We start from the raw sequence: 20,699 nt of genomic DNA on the forward strand, positions 1-20,699 counted from the left end.
CTGGGAAACTGAGGCAGGAGAATAGCTTGAACCCGGGAGGTGGAGGTTGCAGTGAGCCGAGATCGTGCCACTGCACTCCAGCCTGGGCAACAGAGTGAGACTCAGTCTCAAAAACAAAACAAAACAAAAAAACAAACAAAAACAAATTTACCTTTCTTTAGTTTCCTCTGAGCTCAATTTCCATTAGTCCAACTACCTCCCTGACATCTTTTTGGAGATCTCAAGGGTATTTTCAGATTCTTAAGTCCCTATCCAACTCATGGTCTTCCCCCTACCAAACCAGTTTAGTTCTTTCCCAGTGTTCTCCAGCTCAAAGAATGTCATCACTATCCATTCCATTTCCAACTAGCAACCTAGGAGTCATTCTTAGCCCCCTTTTCCCTGCCCTTTGCCTCAATCCAAACTATCACCAAATCCTAATGTTTTACCTAGAAAAACAATAATCCACTTCTCTCCACCCCAAGTCACCACCATATTCTAAGCTACCATCTGTGATGTGGAATGCTCTTAACCTAGTCACACCCACTCTGGTTCCCTTTACAATCAGGTCAGCAAAGTGACCTTCTCAACACACAAGCTTCATTGTATCAACCCTTGCTTAAAGCCTTTTGATGGCTTCACAGTGCTCTTAGGATGAAGACAAACACGGCCAGCAAGGGCCTGCATGGACTGGCCCCTTGATCCAAGTGCCCATTGACCTCTGCTGCTTCAGACATTTGGGACTTTAGTCCTGCATTTTGCCTTGCTGCTCCCATACAAGGTCTTTGCATACATAGTTCCCTCTGCTTACAGCACTCCTTCCAACTCTTTAGCTATCAGAGTTTTGATCTTGGCTTCAAGACCACCATATCAGGGGACAAGTGTGGTGGCTTATGCCTTTAATCCCAGCACTTTGGGAGGCCAAGGCAGGAGGATCACTTGAGCTCAGGGGTTTGAGATTAGCCTGGGCAACATAGGAAGACTCCATCTCTACAAAAAATAAAGATATTAGCTGGGCATGGTGGAGTGAGTCTGTAGTCCCAGCTACTAAGGAGGCTGAGGTGGGAGGATCGCTTGAGCCCAGGAATTGGAGGCTGCAGTGGGCTATGATGGCACCCCAGCAATTCAGCCTGGGATATGTCTGGCATGTGTTTAGCAGAAAGAGACATACCAATTGTTTTTAGTTTTCTGAATCCATGGAGATTATTAAAAAATACAAGTGATTAGCGACAGCTTAGAAAGGGGGACTAATTAAACTTTTGAAGCAAAAATTGTAGTCAATGAGACTGGGAATTATTTCCCCTCAGTTAATACAAATATTTTATATGTTGAGGACCCTAAGGAAGAAAGCCCAGAAGATATAAAAACTGTGTTTTAGTTTTTAAGTTTTGTTTAAATGCTTGTAATTTCTGAAACTCATAAAATGATACTAACACCCTAAATTTTAGTAGCATGCAGCTTAATATGAATTATGACATATATAAGTTACTTGGTTTATATTGAATAAAAATTACTTTAAAATTGAAACAAAAAAGGAATCACCATACCAGGGAAGCTAATCTCAGTATATTCATGACGTATGACTAGTCACTCACTGCACAGACAAAGCACTCTGTCACCTCTAAGGGGAGGCAAGGATGCACGATTGCTTCCCTGAAGGACCTCACAGGTAACACGAAGAGGCACAGCACACACAGCATTATTTACAGTAGAAGGCAGTGGCAGTGTGTATAAGATAAACAAAAAAAGGTACAAAGAAGTTGGTTCTTCATGAGACTGTCATCCATTTAATTAGTTACTGGTCTCACCATTTCCTCTCCTACATGTTACTTCATTCATCCTGTAAGTCTATTCCCCAATATTCCACAAAACCTATAAAGGCTCTTTATCACTTACAACATGAAATTCTGGACTAAACCTTTTAAGTCACTCTACAATGTACCTAATTTTTCATTCTTTCACTTGCCTATGTGTGACCTTGACTCTGGCCTTGCCAGTTTGTTCATTCCTTGCCTCAAAGGAAGCACGATAGACTATTGGCTTCAGGATTAGACTTGAGTTTGGATTCCTGCTTTGTCAGTTACAGGCTACAATCTTTCCACATTATCCTCCATGCTGAAGTAATCTTTGCATGAAAATCAAGTTCATGTCAATGTTCAAATTGATGATATATTTACTGACTTACCATTTCACCTGGGTCTTGTACTTCTCTCATTCCAATTACCTGAGCTTTGGGTTCCAATTCTGATCTCCCAGTCTCTATCACAGCTTTTTATTTTTATTTTTTGAGGCAGAATCTAGCTCTGTCACACAGGATGGAATGCAGTGAGCTCACTGCAGCCTCAGCCAACAGGGCTCAAGCAATCCTCCCACCTCAGCCTCCAGAGTAGCTGCGACTATAGGCTTGTACCACCCACGCCTGGCTAGTTATTTGATTTTTTGTAGAGACAGTCCTAATTTTGTTGCCCAGGCTGATCTCAAACTCCTGGGCTCAAGCAATCCTTCTGCCTCAGCCTCCCAAAGTGCTGGGATTACAGGCATGAATCACTTTGCCTGGCCGCATCTCAACTTTTAAATATCCCTCTCTCAGGTAGTCATAGTCCTTACCCTTTGTTTTGACTGCCTCAACCTCTCATCTGTTATTCACCCATCCTCTTTATGACGTTTCCCTGACTATTGCTTATTTCTTCTGGTTTCGACATCTACATGGGTTGACTTAATTTTGATGTAATAAATGTTTGGTACAGTAACACAAAAAGCCAAATAAAAGAATGCAAAATTAAAACAGGTAATAGACACAGATTTCTATATCTTGGGTGGAAGATTCAAAGACAGAAATTAAAGTGAATGCTAGCACTGCAAAATGTATAAAAACACATTACAAAACAAGTCAGAAGCTTAGAGCCTATTGCTGGAATTTCACAGATGCTGCAGAACACAGCAAACGGCAGCTCTGGATGTGCCAAGCAAAGACTTGCAATGTCACCGCGTTCCATTCCCGGCACTGCAGCCCTGTGCCACGTTCTTCTGTCTTCTGCAGCATGTGACAGAAAGTTGTCTGTGTGGCACACGGTTAACGGAAATAAACATAGCAATTGTTTTTGGTTTTCTGAGATCCATGGAGATTATTAAAAAATACAAATGACCAGTGACAACTTAGAAAGTGGGACTGATTAAACTTTTGAAGGAAAAATCTTATTCAATAAGATTGAGTTTTCCCTTCAGTTAATAGGAGTATTTTATATGTTGATGACACTATGGAAAAAAGCCCAGAAGATACGAAACTGTGTTTTGGTGGACAAATTTTGTTTAAATGCTTGTAATTTTTGAAACTCATAAAAATCATACTAATGTCCTTAATTTTAGTAGCATGCAGCTTAATTTGAATTATGACATCTATAAATTACTTGATTGATTTATATTGAATAAAAATTACTTTAAAATGGAATAAATTGAACAAAGGGAAGAAGAGTATAGTAAGTAATATGTGTAGGTTTGAGAATCAGACTGAGACTAACTAGCCAAATGAGCTTATAACAAGTTTCTTGATTGCTTCTCAGGCTCAGTTTCCTCTTCTATAAGATGCAGATAAAAATCTACTATGGCTATTGTTGGAATTAAATGACAGAATGCAGTAAAGCACTTTGCAATGCAGTGTTTGGCAGATGGAAAATGTTCAGAAGGGTTAGCTAGTCTTCCTTATTCAATGTTGTAAGTAAATTAGGTGATCTTATGTTCCTAATATATGTTCCATCATGTTCCTAAACAAAATTATGTTCGATCCGTAAAGGGCACTAAAAGGCATATTTTCAGTTTCCCCCCACTCCAAACTCAAAACAAAAAAGAATTAACTGCTCTAAATCCTGCATCACTCAGAATTTCACAAATTTTACCTCACTGATGGAGTTAATACCGTTTCTTTCACTTCAAACACAAAGCAGACTCAGAATTCTAGGCCATACCAAATACTTAAACATATATGTTAGTTGGCCTCATATTAGCAGATTGTAACTCAGGGTAACATTTCTGAAGCTCTCCATTTGAACACTGTATTTTAAGTGAAGCCTGTTTTAGCAGAACCCCAACCAGAAACACGTGCATGCGAATAATAAATAACAGTACGTGTTCATTATACCTACATTCTGACCCAACAATCTTTCTAAGAATCCAGGGCATTCCAAGGAAACTGGGTTAGGACATGCCTAAGCAACATGTTTCTGATTCTACACCATTTCCAAAGGCAATATATGTTATAAGTAACTCTTTTTTCTTTTTGGCATATGTATTGCAAATAAACAAACATGGAAAAATCTAGGAGTTCTGTGATGAGAATTCGCAGGATTAATTTCCTTTAATTAGAACAACTAGGGGCTCTGCGGGTACAGCACTGTATGGCAGAACATCCACATTCTAGTCTGTAGAACCTATAAATATGTTATCTTCTATGGCAAAGTAGACTTTGCAGATGTCATTAGTTAGGACCTTAAAATGGAGAGATTATTGTGAATTATCTGGATTAACTCAATCTAATCACACTGTTCCTTAAAAGCAGAAAAGGCAGTGGTCAGACAGGGGGCTGTGACCATGGAAAGCTTGGAGAAGGAGCCACAAGCCAAGAAATGGGGGTGCCTCTCAAAGCTGAAAGGGAAGATTCTCCCCTAGTGCCTCCAGACACTTTGATTTTAGCCCAGTGAGAATCTTGCTGGACTTCTAATCTACAGACAATAAATGTGTGTTGTTTTAAGCTACTACATTTGTGGCAATTTGTTTCAATGGCAATAGAAAACTAACATAATCATTATTCTCATGGCCTTCTTCACTAGAATTTCAGGAGCCAAATTGTATTTGAACTATTTAGCTGTTTAAAAATGTAGTGCTTTGAAGCAGACCTCACTACATTACTTTAAACTTTCAAAATGTAAAAAAGAGTTTTAAAAACAGCTTTGAGAGTTACTAGCATTGGTTTTTAGAGCCAACACAACTTTACTTAAATAGCACAGCTAGTCAATAGTAAATACCTCCCACAGCACCTTTTCCTTTCCAGAAGAACTTTACAAACCAAACCAAACTAGGGATAACCTATGAAGGTTTCTCTATGAATAAAATTAGTTATTTTATTTCATCCACTTTCATATCCTGCTGCCATAAACAAGCAATTCTTTTAACCAACACATTAATATAAATGCCTTTTTTTAAAAAACTGATTTAAGGTTGAGCTTAAGCTGAGCTTGTTACATGTCCCTCCTTCCACCAATATATCGTTCTTAATGGCTAATACATGATTAAAATCATCAGGGAATAATCTTTGAGGTCAGTCTCAATGCCACAGCTCCGACATACCTAAGTTCATCCATTTCCCTCTTCTTCTTCATTTCTTCTTTTTCTCTCTTTTTCATTTCCTGAATTTGGGCTTTTTTCTCATTCCTCTCTTCACGATCTCTGCATTCTTTCTCTGCTGCTAGGTCTGGGAACCGCTCGACTTTGGTCTTTTCTAATCGGTTCAGGATCTCATTTACTTTCTTCTCCACTGTCACAATTTTTACCTTTAAGGGAGATAGGAGAAAAGATATTGCATCTTTTTGTTTTTTTTCTCCCAGAAGAGGGATGAGGCTTTCCAGGGGTTTAGCAACCCAGTTTAATTCCCTTTAGAAAACATATATCATGCTCAGCCCTCAACAACAATGGTGTCAGACAGAAAAGATAGGATACTCCATTCAGTATCAGGGCTCCGCCTCCTTCAGTGGCACAAAACACTTACATCCTTCTGCCTGTGAAAGCCTATCTGCCCCACATCCATGTCAGCTGTTTTCTTCAGGTTAGACCACGGCGTATATACCACATTAACGTTGTTCATCTTGCAGCCTGCCAAGAGAGACTGTCTTCAACATGCAGGCAGGATGAGACTGAGCAATGTGTTCCCTTACCCACTGGCAAACTGCCATAAGCCAACAAGGGAAACGGCTTAGAACGAACAGGCCACCCCTTGTTTTAAACCACCAATACTTTTTCAAAAGCCACCCACAAAAGGCAAATGGTAAAGCTGACAAAATTCAAACGGAAGTATTACTATGGCAAGTAGGAGTCCATGGATTAGCTTCAGGGACTTCTGAGGACTCTCTAAAATTGGATGCAAAATTTATCATTGAGTTTTTTTTTCAAGAGAAAAGGACTGAATATGTTTCCTCAGATTCTCAAAGAAGTCCTTGACTCTGAAGGTTAAGCAGCAACGGAAAGCCATGGCCTGGAACTCACAAGCCCTGGACTCTATCCGGGACTACCACGAGCTAGCCGAGCCTCTCTGGAGAAGTCCCCTGGCCCTCTGAATTTCATATGAAATGTGAGGAAATTGGACTAGTTTAATAGAGTTTTTGCTTATAGTTTCTTCAGCAGTGGAACCCTTTTACCAAAGAAAACACAGAAGTCATCAAAGCAGAGGCGCTCTGGATGGAAGGAGTGCCAGGTACCCTGTTCACTCCTCCTCCTGCCCCTTCACCGCCTCCTCCACCACTCATACCCTCCCTGGCAGCTCTGGAAATCGCAGTTTAATCACTGGTCTGACACTCTCTCTGGTCCTTCCAAATTAGATGGCAAGGGATTTCAATGCTTATTAAATCCCCATGTACACTGGAAAAAGCTGGAAGACCACTTTACCCAAGGGGTCAAGGTTAACACCACCAAAAATGGCACAAAATGACATCATGTGCTGCCTGACTATAATGTGCAAAACTTCACTTATGTAATATTCCTGCTCCAAAGTGCATGATGGGATTCTAATCCAGAGGAAGCATCAGACAAACCCCAACTGTGGGTTAGTAATCCCATTACTACAACTGGTCTGTACTTTTTGAAAGACAAAGCAGTATCTCTGGATTAAAGGAGACTAAAGAGAAGTAAATACAGCGCAAGTAAATACAGCACATGGCCCTGGATCCAAAAAAAAAAGCTATAAAGAAACAGTAGCGGGACAAGTGGCAAAACTTAAATATGGACTGTATATCAGAACACAGTATTCTATCCATGTTAAACTTCCTGAATTTTACCACTGTAATACAGTTATTTAAGACAACGTCCATGTTCTTCAGAAGGACATGTTCAAGGGTCATGATATCTACAATTTCGCTTTGGATGGTTCAGCTAAAAAGGTTAATGAGTATGCAATATATAAAGCAAATAAATATGGAAAAATTTAAAAATTGATGAATCTAAGTGAATGGTATATGGTAGCTGTACTATTCTTGCAACTTTTCTGTATACCTGAAAGTTTTTTCAAAATAAAATTTCTTTAGAAAATCTCCATGTGCAAGGCACTGTGGGGGACACAAACATGACCAGACAATGAATCTTGCTCTCCACGACTCTAACGGAGCAGGGTAAGCACATCAATAACTTGGATCAAAAGGAGAACTGATCAAATGCTGTTGGAAAGCTACAGGAAACTGCTAAGACAGCACAGAGAAAGTGGGGCCACTCAAAGCTGAAGAAGGAAAAGGCTTCATCGAGGAGGCTCACAGAGCTCAGGGGTTACGGCAGAACACTTGAGCCAAATGGGTTGACATCAAATCCAGTCTCTACTGCACTTTAGACCTCTAAGACCTTGAACAAGTTCCTTAATTCTCTTTAAGATCAGTTTCCTCCTCTATAAAATGAAAATAATATCTAACTCAACGGGGTGGATAATTTATGAAGTACTTAGCACAGGGCCAGGCATGTAATTAACACTCCATCAGTGTTAGCAATTACTACCACCACTACACCTACTATGTGGACCTTGAACCTTAGCTTGAATCTGGACTCTGATGACTGACAAAGACAAACCTGAGGGCAGAGGGAACAATACAAGCCAGGTGCAAGGTCAGAAAACAGCAAATATTGGCTTTGGCTGTAGTGTGAAATACGTGAAGGGAAAGAAGTCTGCAGTCAAATGAGAGACGCTTAAATGCTGGTTTCAGAAGTCCGGACTGAACAGTTTAGGCCGAGGAGAGTCAAGACAGTTTCTAAACTTCTAAAAGTTTAATCTGGAAAGATTCACTGGGTGAACACAGAACAGGCTGACCTAAGATTCTAGACCTATGACCCAGAACAGGCTGATTCTATAGCGACAAACAAATTTAGCCCCAAAGCCCTTGGTTCTGAGCACTGCAGATGGTAAACCGGGGGAAAACTTTGTCCCTACAAAGTGCCACAAGTGGAGTGTCCTCTGGAAATCTCATAGCAACGACCATTTTCTCCACTCCTCGGCACATAATCTTCTACTGACTCACAAGAGCAAGACCCTTGGGCATAGGTCCTTATTTGCTAGCTGAGCTATCGTTGCAGAAGGCTGAAGAGGAGAGAAACAGTAATTCAGTGTCATGACTCTTTGCTCCTCTTTGTTTTCTCTAGAATTAGTAAACTATGAAGAGATTAAGAAGAAAGCAGCTGGGCCAAGAATAAGGCCTCCAAAGCTCTTTTAACAAAGACATGTCTGCTAGCCAGCAGCAATGGAAGGGATAAGGACATGTGAAGGAAGTTGGAACACAGAAGGAAAGAATATAATGATTGTTTCAATTCTTCTTGTTATTTCAGTAACTGAAGATCTTAGCTGAAAATCTTAGAAAATTCTGTTCTCCTCATACAATGGAATGTCCCAAAATGTATTACAATTTGTTAACTTATAGAGTTGAAAATCAGTGGCTCTGTAAAGCAACAGTTCTACCTTCTTTGGCTAGGTGCTGACGCATCATTCAGGCAGCCTAAGTGAAGGTGTGGGAAGCGCAGTCGGGGAAAGGGGAATGCTGCGCTGCTCTTGTCCTGTAATTGCCAACTCCTGGTACCTGTTATCAGCTGTGGGTCCGCCCCATGTTTATCTTCTTCCCAAACCATGATTGCTTTCCAACCCTCTGGAGCATCCCTTCACTCCATCTCAAGCCACAATAACCTCTACCCGATCTAGACCTGTGTTCTACACCCTAAAATCGGATCTACTGGCTCATTATTAGCAGAGCACCACCTCCTGGTTTCCCTTCTTAAACCCCGCCCCTACCCTAATAATCATCCTTCTTGACCCTTCATGACTATGAGATGAAATCTTGCATAGCAGAAATAAATACCAGGTAATGACCAAGCACGGTATGCCAGGCCCCATCTAAAATACTTAGGCTAATTGTTCTCAACCCATGCTGCACAGGAGAATCACCCAGAGAGCTTTTAAAAGCAGTAATATTTGGGAATCACCCCAGACAAACTAAATAAGATTCTCTTTGGTGGGGAGGGGAAGTAACAAGATCAACTGACTTGACAACTTCGCAATTTAAGAGGGAAAAAGTATGTAAGAGGAGGAGGGAAAGAAAAAGTAGAGAAGCATGATTTGGGGACTTTAATTCTAGAATCTAATGACAAATAATAGAAATAAAGATATCAAACAACATTAAAAATAAAGCCATAAAACACATTGTTCTTGCTTAGCTATCAACATTGCCAAATTTCCCAAAGTCTTTTTATAATAACACTAAGTACAGACAGATCTAGACAACCTTCTATTCAAGGTAAGGAAACAGTAAAAAGAGCCGAGACTTAGACAGGACGGTCAAAATGACAAGGGTGGGGAGATCAGTTTTTAGTTCTTTGACAGGTACCAAAATTGCCATCCATCTTAAAGAACAAAACATGGCAAAGGCACAGCACATGTTATTCTTTGATGGAGGCCAAAGTCAACAGCATGCTCACTAAAATGTAATCCATTTCAGACACAGAGAAAGTCCGTGCTAATTCTAAAAACACCTCTAGGAAAACTGACCTTGAATGCTATTGGCCTTCACAAGGTGGGCACAGTCCATCAGCACTTCCTTTGGGATGTCTTCTATATTCTCTCCCTGAAACACAAAAATAAACCAATTGGTCCACTACCTCATTATCCATTGACACTGGAGCACTCAAAGGGCATTTGCTGCCTTACCTACTAGGCATGATTTTACTAAAAGCAGAGGTTCTTCAACTGTTACAGAACACTGAAAAGTAAATTTACTGTGTGCATTACGGGAATGTTTGTTTAAAATAAGAGAAGGCTGTAATATGAAAATATTGACACTTAATAAGTAAAAAAAAAAAAAGCAAAAAAAAACAGGAAATGAAAAAAACTCCCAGAATATTAATTATAATTATGTCTGAGTAATTTTTATTCTCTTTCTTCTCATTCTGACTTCTAGAAACCTTGTGGGAAAATGGTGCCTATTTTTGACAACTGGATGTCTTCGTGGCCGAGGTCCCTATGACCTTCCTCTCAAAAGAATACGTGTAGTTTTAGTTCTCAGACATCTGGTAGGTCATCTATCCTCAGCTTTAATCAGGAAAAAAGTTATTGTTGTGTAGATCTCAACCATTCACTGTAAAGAAGAAATAACAGAAATGACACTGATCCTTTTTCTCTATAGAAATTTGTATCAAAATCAAAGGTGAATAAGTGAGGTGATGCCCCTTTTACAGATGCAGAAACAGGCCAGTTAAGTAACTTGCTCAGAGTCACGTGGTGAGTAAGCAGCAGAACCAGAATTCAAAGCCAGCAGTCTGGCCCCAGGGTCTGAATGAATCCCTTAGTCTTACTGCATTTCCAACTTCCTTGGTACCTACTAATTACAATGGCTATGTCATTTACTGCAGGAAATTAATCAGGTAAAAGTTCCTCAAGGAGCATACACTTTCAAACTGGGCACATTAGGCTGGGTTTAGGGGCTCGTGCCTATAATCTCAGCACTTTGGGAAGCCAAGGCAGGAGGACAGCTTGAGCCCAGGCGTTCAAGACCAGCATGGGCAACACAGTGAGATCCCATATCTACCAAAAAAAATTAAACTGAGCTCATTATGTGTTTCCAAAAGAAAGTGAAATTGAACTTGTATTCAAACAAATAATTGGTGGTAATGAGAACTTGGGACTACCACCAGTATTTTCCATCTTCTGACACAGCAGATCCCCCAAAGAAGACATTAATCTGACCCAAAATGAAACTTGGTAACACCATAATTTATTTTCTCTAAATCTAATAGTTCCAAAATGGCAAGAAGTTGCCTAAAAGAATTCAGAATTTTGCTCCAGCACAGACTTCATAATCCTCTTTTCCTTCACCATATAGTCCTCAAAAACATAAATAGTATGAGATGGGGCACACTGTTTAACCTTGCTAGTAAACTAAAAAGTGAATATTATTGCCATAATGAAGTAGCATCTTATATTCATCAAAATGGTCAAAAGGTTTTATTTTTATTTTTTAAGTTATAAAACCCAAAAGGGTTTTGGAAAACCTATAAATAGTAGAGAGCATTTTAAACAATACTTTCAGAGGGCAATCTGGCAAAAAAGCAGTTAGCAAACTATGTACATCTTTTGACCCAGGAAATCCATTCCTAAGAATTATTCTAAGAAAATAATGAAAAACAAAAAACAAAAAATAAAACCAGAAGGTAGTTCATGAAAAGTTATTTCTTGGTGATTCATAATGCTGAAAAATTGGAAACAACCTATATTCTGACAAAAGAGTTTCATATTAATTGCAGCATATTATTAACTCAATGCAGCCAGTCAAAATAACAAATATGAAAATTATATAGCAACATAAAAGAGTTCATAAAATGTCATGTTAAAAGGTAATCTAATCAACCAGGGGATGTCAAGATGGAATGTGGACAAGATAATTTAACTGTATTACAAACATAGGACATCACGTCACTGAAAGGGGTGGGGAAAAAAAGTAGCTTACAGCTAACTGTGGAAAATGATGTGTTTTTGTTGTTGTTGTTCTTGACACAGGGTCTTGCTCTGTTGCCCAGGCTAGAGTGCAGTAATGTGATCATGGCTCACTGAAGCCTCAGCCTCCGCCTCCTGGGCTCAAGTGAGCCTCCTACCTCAGCCTCCCGAGTAACTGGGACCACAGGTGGGTATCCCACAACCAGCTACATTTTCTTTATTTTCTGTAGTGACAGGGTCTCCCTATGATGCCCAGGCTGGTCTTGAACTCCTGGGCTCAAGTGATCCTCCTTGCTCAGCCTCCCCAGATGCTAGCATGGAAAACAATGTTTTGATTGGAAATGGTTTAAGGCAAAAAGACAACCTGTAGCAAAGGATGACAATCAGAGCCATCCCCATGAGCTCATGTTTAGCTTAATATAAATACAGATGGAAAGATACAGAAATGATTACAGATATGTGCATATACATGGGTTAGTACACATACATGTATCTCCTTCTCTGTCAGCTCAGAGGGCCGAAAAGTGATGACACTCCAGTAGTAACAGGCGCACCCAGAGCCCAGATCTTTTTAAATTTTTTCACATCAGACATGACAAGGTTCAAGGGTGGCACATCTCATACATGCACATGAACAGCCAATCATCACACTCATAAACTACAGAAGGATCGGTCTAGATCTTGATTTCGAAACACCATTACCACTGAAAAGAACCAGGGTTCCTTGGAGAAATGCCCCATTCTAGAGCTGGGACAGGGAAAATACAAGACGAGCCTGGAGCTCTCTGTAGTGCCGGAAAGCAAGGATGTGCTCAAAGAACAAAAGGATGGGAGCATGTCAGAGGACATGGGAGCACACGGGAGCCCGCTGAAAGAGCTCCAGCTGAAGCTGCAACAATATCAGAGTAAAATAACCTGGTTACAGAACATATCTCAAAGGATAAAATAAACGCAGGAGTCTAGGCTGATGCAAATAAATGACTGAATAAATAAATAGGGGAAAAGAGACAAATGTTCCTTCCAGAATTCCAAATAATGTATATAGACACTCCCCTCTCCAGGAAGTAGTGCTTAATTCCATCCTCCACTTCCTTGAGTGTGGGCTGGACTTAGTGACTTGCTTCCAAATAAGAATACAGAAATGGGGAGAAAAGCAACCTTATAGTAGAGCAACCTCCAAACACTACACTGGCCAGGCCATCAAGGCTCACGTCATCAATGATAAGTCACGGTAATACACGCACCCGATATGCTGTGACGAGACAGGCACTTCACCTCTGTGATATTCTCCCCCTAAACCCATAACCCGTCTAGTCACGAGAAAAAATATCAGATAAATGCAAACTGAGCAATAGTCTACAAAACACCTGATCAGTACTTCTCAAACTGTCAAGGTCATAAAAAACAGAGAAAGAATGAGAAATTGTGATAGACTAGAGGAGACTAGGCAGACACAACTAAATGTAATATGGTACTCTAGACTGGCTACTAGAACAAAAAGAGGGCATTAATAGAAAGTTGGTGAAATCCAAATAAAGTCCAGAGTTTAGGTGACAGCGATGTGCCAAGGTTAGTTTCTTTGTCTTGACAAATCTACCATAGTAATATAAGATGTTGATGATGGGGGAAACTAGGTGAAGGGTAGATGGGAACTCTGTATCACTTCTGCCACTTTTCTGGAAATCTAACATTTTTCCAAAGTTGAAAGTTTATCAAAAAGAAAGCAGTACACTCGCAAGCATATATACCCTATGATTCAACTATATAAAATATATGAATAGAGATAGATTGGAAAAATAGTGGTATTGTATTACTAGGGGCCACTAAAAATTTTTTTCCTTTATTACTAGCATGTTCTTTTAAACTTCCTAAAGAAGCCCATGATAACTGGGAACACGGGCCCTTCACTGAGGCAGGAGAATCACATGAGCCACACATGATATCCACTGGAGGAGACAGAAAGTCTGGGAGTGTCAACTGAATTGAAAGAAAAGGAAAGCAGAGATGACAGACAGCACACCGGAAGTGACAGGATAAGCAGTGCATCTAGCTGGGAAATATGTACACTGCCTCCTTCTATATCTCAAAAATCATCTAGAATGTTAGAGTGATTTTCTGGGTCAGAGGGAAGACACGTCTTCATTTGTTAACTTTTAGATTTGCGTACCAACTTATTACTGTAAGCAATTTAATTGCAAAGGATAAAGAACAAGATATGATGCATCATCAGGAGAAAAGTCAAGAATCCATGTTTAAATTCAGTTACCTTATGTAATCGAAGGTATACATGAGCCGAAGAGAGTTTGTCCACATGAAACCTACAAAGAATGAAAACCACTTTTAGCAAGAGGTACAAGACAATCATCTCCTCAGGCCACATGCCATTTAAAGCATTCTGTTCTAAAAAGTCTTCACTCCATGCCTGCCACATGTGAAGCATCATGAGGAGTATAAAGCACAGTCACCACCTCCAAAGGGCTCCCCATCACCATGAAGAGGTACGAGAAACACTGAATTATGGAGCTGTGAGTAAGTGCCAAGATGAGTAGAGATACTAAATATTAACTGTACTGGGAAGGGTGATTTTTCAAGATATAAAAAGAACTATCAGTGATCAAAGGCTTCATGATAAAAAGGAGGCAGTGAGATTTGGTTGGCCCCTGACTGAAGCATAGGACTTAGAGCAAAACCAAGGAAAGGAATTTCAGGTGAAAAGAGTGGGGGATGAAAGAAGTCAGCAAGTCTCCAATGCTGCCAGCCTGGGAGATTAGCAGAACCACAGTTTGGCGGAAACAGATGACAGTTTCGTTTGTGACATCCCAAATTTCAAGTTATAGCAAAACAATCCAAAGAGAATGTCGAATAGAGAGCTGGAAGAGTTAGGTGGGGCCTAAAGACGCTAAGCAGAACACGTCATTAAATGGGTCACAATTCAATAATGTAACCCAATAATTCACAAGCACAACAGTTCATCCGGCCCTATATTCTGACAGTGATACCAATATATGTCTCTTGGGTGAGCACTGCCCTTTACTGACATTGTCCTAAAAACATTCAGAATGTCCCCCACCCCTTAAATTTACCTTTCATGATGGATCTATCATCTATCAATTTAATTAAACCTTTTAAAATCTATGCAACATTCAGGATATGAGATTTTCATGTTTTCAATTCACCCAATGAACTTGACTTTCTCTTTCCAATACCCAGAAATGCCCCCTCCGCATCCCAGCATCACACAACAAACAAGGTAACACTATCGCCACTTCGTGATTCTGTTAACTTTAGTTGATATGATTTGGATTTGCGTCCCCACCAAGTCTCATGTCGAATTGTAATCCCCAGCGTTAGAAGTGGGGCCTGGTGGGAGGTGACTGGATCATGGGGGTGGATTCTTCATGAATGGGTTAGCACCATCCCTTTGGTGCTATTCTTATGATAGAGTTCTCATGAGATCTGTTTAAAAGTGCACAGCCCCGGCACCCTGCTCCTGCCATGTAAGCCGCCTCGCTTCCCCTTTGCCTTCTGCCATGATTAAAAGTTCTATGAATGAGGCCTCCCAGAAACAGACACTGCCATGCTTCCTGTATAGCCTGCCAAACCATGAGCCAATTAAACCTCTTTTCTTTACAAATTACCCAGTCTCAGGTATTTCTCTATAGCAATGCAAGATGGACTAATACATTAGTCATACTGCTTCCTTGGTCCTTACCTTTCCAGACTGAAGAATGTTCAGAAAATCCTAAAGAGGCATCATTACATCCCATTATGTTTCTCTAGCCATTTTCTTAAGCACTAATAAATGTTTTAGAGGTGAAAATGGTCACCTTCACACCTAGTACAAGATGTAGACTGTATGATTCTATATAAAAGTGCCCTCTTTAAAGAGGTTAGTCATCTTGCTATTCACTATGCATACAGAAAAATATTAGGCACTTTTGGCACACAGTTTATGATGACTCGAGGTTTTACTCTTAATCATTAGTGATAGCCAGAAATGGACATAACATCTTATTTGACTTACATTTCTCCAAGTGGTTCACTTACTCATTTGCATTCCCATGTGAGAGATTCATACTAATTATCACCTTCAGCTGGACATTTTCCAGCCAGAAAAACCTGTGCTTTTTGCAAATCTAAAAATTACATATCTCATTATCCTCTTTCAGAATCTTAGGAAAATATCACACTAGTAACCAAGATAACTGAAAAGTAACTTTACCCATTCCAACTTTTATTTGCCTTAAGCCAGTTCTCTATTTACAACATCTTCTTCCCTATGTACCTATAATAGATTGAATTCTGATTTTTCTTAAAGGTCTCTGATGTAGAATTTTGTCAAAAGAAATACCCAAATAATTCAATATATATTTAATGATATTCATACATAAGTAGAGAAAGAACCAAAACACACACAGGAATATCACTGCCAAAATACAGCAACTTTATCAATATACACCAATTTCAGGTTTGTATATGATAGATACACCTCTACAAAGAGCAGGGGAGAATGGATGAAAGTATAAGAGAAAAAAAAAATCCAGCTCTATAAACAAACTATCTTGAGCGAGTTTCCTTAAAAAAGAAGCAAACGACTTCTCCAATCTTTCTAAACATTTATTCAAAGTTTAAATTACAGCCATAGTTCCCTCTTATCCTTGTTATCTTCCTCTCCCTGTTACCCTTTCCTGAATGCAGAGACCAGAAGCTTCACTAAATAAGCATCAACTGTCTGAGGATACAGATTCAGGGCCCTGGAGCTGGGCTGTCCAACGACTTAAAGCAGAGTCTGTGGAAATACTAATCATTAGGAGGTCTGGACACAGTAAATACACACTATTTCTATTTTCCTACATTTAAAGATGAATTTAGGGCTGGGCACAGTGGCTCATGCCTGTCGTGCCAGCACTTTGGGAGGCCGAGGTGGGTGGATCACTTCAGGTCAGGGGTTGGAGACCAGCCTGGCCAATATGATGAAATCCCATCACCACTAAAAATACAAAAAAATTAGCCAGGCACAGTGGCGGGAGCCTGTAGTCCCAGCTACTTGGGAGGCTGAAGCAGCAGAACCACTTGAACCCGGGAGGTGGAGGTTACATTGGGCTAAGATGGTACTACTGCACTCCAACCTGGGAGACAGAGCGAGACTCTGTCTCAAAAAAAAAAAAAAAAAAAAAATTAGCCTGGTGTGGTGGTACATGCCTGTAATCCCAGCTACTTGGGAGGCTGAGGCAGGAGAATAGCTTGAACCCGGGAGGTAGAGGTTACAGTGAGTCAAGATTGCACCACTGCACTCCAGCCTGGGTGACAGAGCAAGACTCTGTCTCAAAAAAAAAAAAAAAAAAAAGATGAATTTAGTTCCATTCTCACTGATTCCTAGGAAAACCCTTTGCTTAAAGGAGCCTCAGGAGGTTTTCCGGGATAAATCCAGATGCTGACATTCACAGAGGTAATGAATGATTCAACAGCTCCACAAAGTGAAGCAGGTGAACACCCCACCCTGGAATGGTGATCAACTCAGGATCATTCTTAGCACTCCCTGGAATATGTCCAAAATTGACAGCTGGAATGGGTTTTGAGGTCTACACCTACTCACATCACACCTCAAATGTAGCTTCTGAAGGTAAAAGCCAATCACATCCAACAACAGTCATTCATCTCAAGACTACTAAAGGGGGTCGAAATAGGCCTCTTGGTATCTGTAGACCAATTTGGGAAGTACTAACCTTAATGAAATGAAAAACTGAGGTCATAATTTATTGGATGTGGGTTGTAAACTGGAAATTTCTCTTCCATTTATTTAAACAAATGAAAGTCAGGTAGAAGGCTGTGGTACACTGATTTTCAGGCTGCATCTGATTATGTAACCTTCTCTATGCAGGTTTTTATGCCTCAAACCTGATAGGTTAAAAATTTCCATCAGCTAACTGCCTAACAGGTGCAGCCATTCTTATTCCCATGAGAGTCTGGAGATCTTTAAAAACAACTGAAAATCATCCAGCTGGGGTTGGCAGGAGCTCAAAATGGAGATAACCATGATGTGGCCATTGTAGGGAAATGTCCATGGAGACTGCTTCTACGCTGGCAGGGAGTCAATTAGGAAATCAACCAATATTTACTGAATACCTACTATGTGCCAGGACCTATGCTAGGTACTGGGGACATAGTAGTTAATGAAATAGGTGATCATTGTCCTCATACAGCTTACTGTCTCAGGCCCTAGGAAGGCGGGCAGCCCCAGTCTGGATGTTTTCAGCATTGCACACTGCCCACTTGAGGCAAAAGAGCACCAAGCAGGGTTTAACTTGATGACATATTTGGATTTAGAAGACAGGTTTTTGTGCTGGAATAGGGACCAGATTTAAATAAGCCTTTAAAATTCCTTTGTTCTGGCTGGGCGCGGTGGCTCACGCCTCTAATCCCAGCACTTTGGGAGTCCAACGCGGGTAGATCACCTGAGGTTAGGAGTTCGAGACCAGCCTGGCCAATGTGGTGATAGCCCCAGTCTCTACTAAAAATACAAAAAATTAGCCAGGCATGATGATGGGTGCCTGTAGTCCCAGCTACTCGGGAGGCTGAGGCAGGAGAATCTCTTGAACTAGGGAGGCAGAGGTTACAGTGAGCCGAGATCGCACCATTGCACTCCAGCCTCGGCAACAAGGGCGAAACTCCGTCTCAAAAAAAAAAAGAAAATTAAATCAACTCTTCTAAAAAGCAGTAGCCCAACTCTATCACTAGAGGGAAATAAGTGAAGGGTCTGTGTCCACATTTGGAGAAAAGAGGTCCAGAGAGAGCTGCAGCAACAGCCTGGGAGAAGAAAGGAGCTGAAGCCAAAAGAGCAGCAGCCTGGAGAAGACAGAAGCAGTGACTTAGAACCAGAGCCAGAGCCAGTAGCAGACAGAGCAGACCCAGTCAGTTTCTCTTAACCTTAATTTCCTCATCTGAAAAAATGGGCATAAATATTAATATCTATTTCACAGGGTTGTTGTGAAGTTAAATGTATTAATGGAGGTAAACACTTAGTAGTATTTGGCATATAGTTAAGTGCTTGACAGATATTCACTATCATAATAAAGCAAACGGGACCCAGGTGCCTTTATCTTCAGGGATAGCATTTGGTAGGAGGTATGAGGAGTCAGGAAGATGATATCCCACTCCATAGGCAGGACTGTGCTCTAGAAGAGAGGCAATACTAGGGTCAGAGTCAGTGGTGGAAGCTGAAGATGAAGAAAACGAAAGTAGACTGGGTGTGACAGTGTTATAGGACAGAAGCCCATGTATTCATAAAAGGCCCCAGGTCTGAATGGTAGAAGTCTATATGGTGTTCTAAGACAGAGAAAAGAATTCAGCTTAAATGAAGTCTTTTTGTTTGTTTGGTATTCTTTTTTTTTGGACTGGGTTTTGTGAGCAAAATAAATGATCTCAAAAGGAGACTAAGAAAGTATATGTTATTATTTAAAACAGTTCACATAAATTGTTTTAGAAAGAAGGCGTCGGGGTTGGATCAAGACAGAGCTAAACTCATCAGGGAGTTTAGAAGACAAAGGGGAACAAGTGTGCTTCCTTTAAAGCTGGACCAGTAAGAACCTCCGTCTATTCCATCCGCATGGATGCTTGTATCTATTTTCTTCATTGCTTCATGTGAAGTCTTCATTTTTCCACTCAAGAACAGTGGTCTGAATATTTAAGTGAGGTGTGGTCTCAGTAACTTACTATGGCGTGGAGACAAAAAGGAGGAAAAAGAAGGCCTGTGTCCTAGAGGCCTTTGCTCTCAAGCCTGAGATCAAACCCAAAAACATCATTTCCAACTTGCAAGGTAATTAGAAATGAAGGAACTGGCAGTCAGCTGTTTAACCCTGAAGACCCATAAACCACAGTACAAAGCATGATTCTAGTTTGAATGCTTGGCCAAGTCTAAGAAAGGAAATGATGATCTACAGAGGGCAGAACCAAAATTGTTACTTACCAGATATCTTCAGGCCAGCCATGCTTGATCAGATCTTCATCTGCAATGAGATATGAGAAACGAAAGAAACAAAAACTGTCAAATGAAGATATGCCAGGGTTTATAAGAATGGGAGAAATGTCAGCTCCTCCCACAAATTTCTCTCTCCCTCAATGAAGAAGAGTAATTCGGAGGCCTTGATGCTTGAAAATACAGAAAAAATAATAATTTTCATAATTGAACAATATGAACTTTATAATTTTTATAAATTTATATAATACTTCTAATCTAAAGCTCAGATATTATTTCTATATGAAGATAATAAAACTAACACTGACAAAACAAAGCAACCAATAGTTCAGATGTTTCAGATAATCAATTCACCTAATAATACTTAAACATTAAAAAGAACTGGCTGAAACTTTAAAGAAATATTTTACTTCTTTAAGAAAAATTAACTTGATTATAAAATTACAGAAAATTTAAAACAAAACAAACATTAGAAGTATAAAAAGAAAATAAAAATCACCTTAAATTCTATCACACATGGAAATAAAACACCAGAAGAAATAGCTAACAGAGTGAAAAGTAATTGTCTGGGGAGGTAGCAGGTGGGGTGGAACATGGGTATTAAGAAGGATTCTTTTTTTAATTCTAAGCATTCTATTACTACTTGACTTTTTAAACTATGTATTTGTTAGATACAAATAAAAATAAAGTTCTTTGGGAACAATGACTACCTAATTCTCTTATATGAATAAACTTTTCTATTGTTGGCCCTTGGTTTGTTTCTAATTATAAATGGTTCAATAAATTTTTTAAGTAAAGTTGTCCATATTTCTGATTATTTCCTTAAGGTATATTTCTAAAAGCTAAAGTATTCGCTCAAAGTGAATGCACATTTTTTAAGGCTAATATATATCACTACATAAAGGTTATATCAATAAATATTTCTACAGCCATATTAATAATTAGTAATAATTCTGTTTAATACAGAATTATTTAAGTATTAAATGCCAATTTAAAAATCATAAACAATACTGGGCACAGTGGCTTACG

General features: G+C 39.7%; 1 protein-coding gene, 1 long non-coding RNA gene and 1 pseudogene across 10 annotated transcripts in view; 1 reads left to right on the forward strand and 2 right to left on the reverse strand.

Annotated features, from left to right (window-relative positions):
• Window positions 1-20,699, reverse strand: part of CCDC25 (coiled-coil domain containing 25) — a 39,325-nt gene that overhangs the window by 9,442 nt on the left and 9,184 nt on the right. For 3 of the 9 annotated variants that reach the window (NM_001304530.2, NM_001304532.2, XM_011544571.3), the window contains 4 exons: window positions 19,662-19,701; window positions 9,755-9,830; window positions 5,738-5,841; window positions 5,320-5,522 (listed from right to left, as the gene is read on the reverse strand). In NM_001304530.2, the coding sequence (NP_001291459.1) occupies window positions 5,320-5,522; window positions 5,738-5,841; window positions 9,755-9,794 (347 nt within the window). In that variant the 5' untranslated portion in view covers window positions 9,795-9,830; window positions 19,662-19,701. Of the gene's footprint in view, window positions 1-5,319; window positions 5,523-5,737; window positions 5,842-9,754; window positions 9,831-13,961; window positions 14,014-19,661; window positions 19,702-20,699 lie in introns of all 9 variants that reach the window. The other 6 variants (NM_018246.3, XM_011544570.3, NR_130761.2 and 3 more) reach the window with 4 other exon arrangements.
• LOC107986934 (uncharacterized) lies at window positions 10,103-15,332 on the forward strand. The gene is made up of 3 exons (XR_001745854.3): window positions 10,103-10,275; window positions 11,759-11,882; window positions 13,546-15,332. It is a non-coding gene; the product is annotated as an uncharacterized LOC107986934 (long non-coding RNA).
• Window positions 12,275-12,365, reverse strand: LOC124902093 (uncharacterized; annotated as a pseudogene).

This window comes from Homo sapiens, chromosome 8, assembly GCF_000001405.40.
Source record: "Homo sapiens chromosome 8, GRCh38.p14 Primary Assembly".
In the NCBI taxonomy this organism is placed as follows: Eukaryota; Metazoa; Chordata; class Mammalia; order Primates; family Hominidae; genus Homo; species Homo sapiens.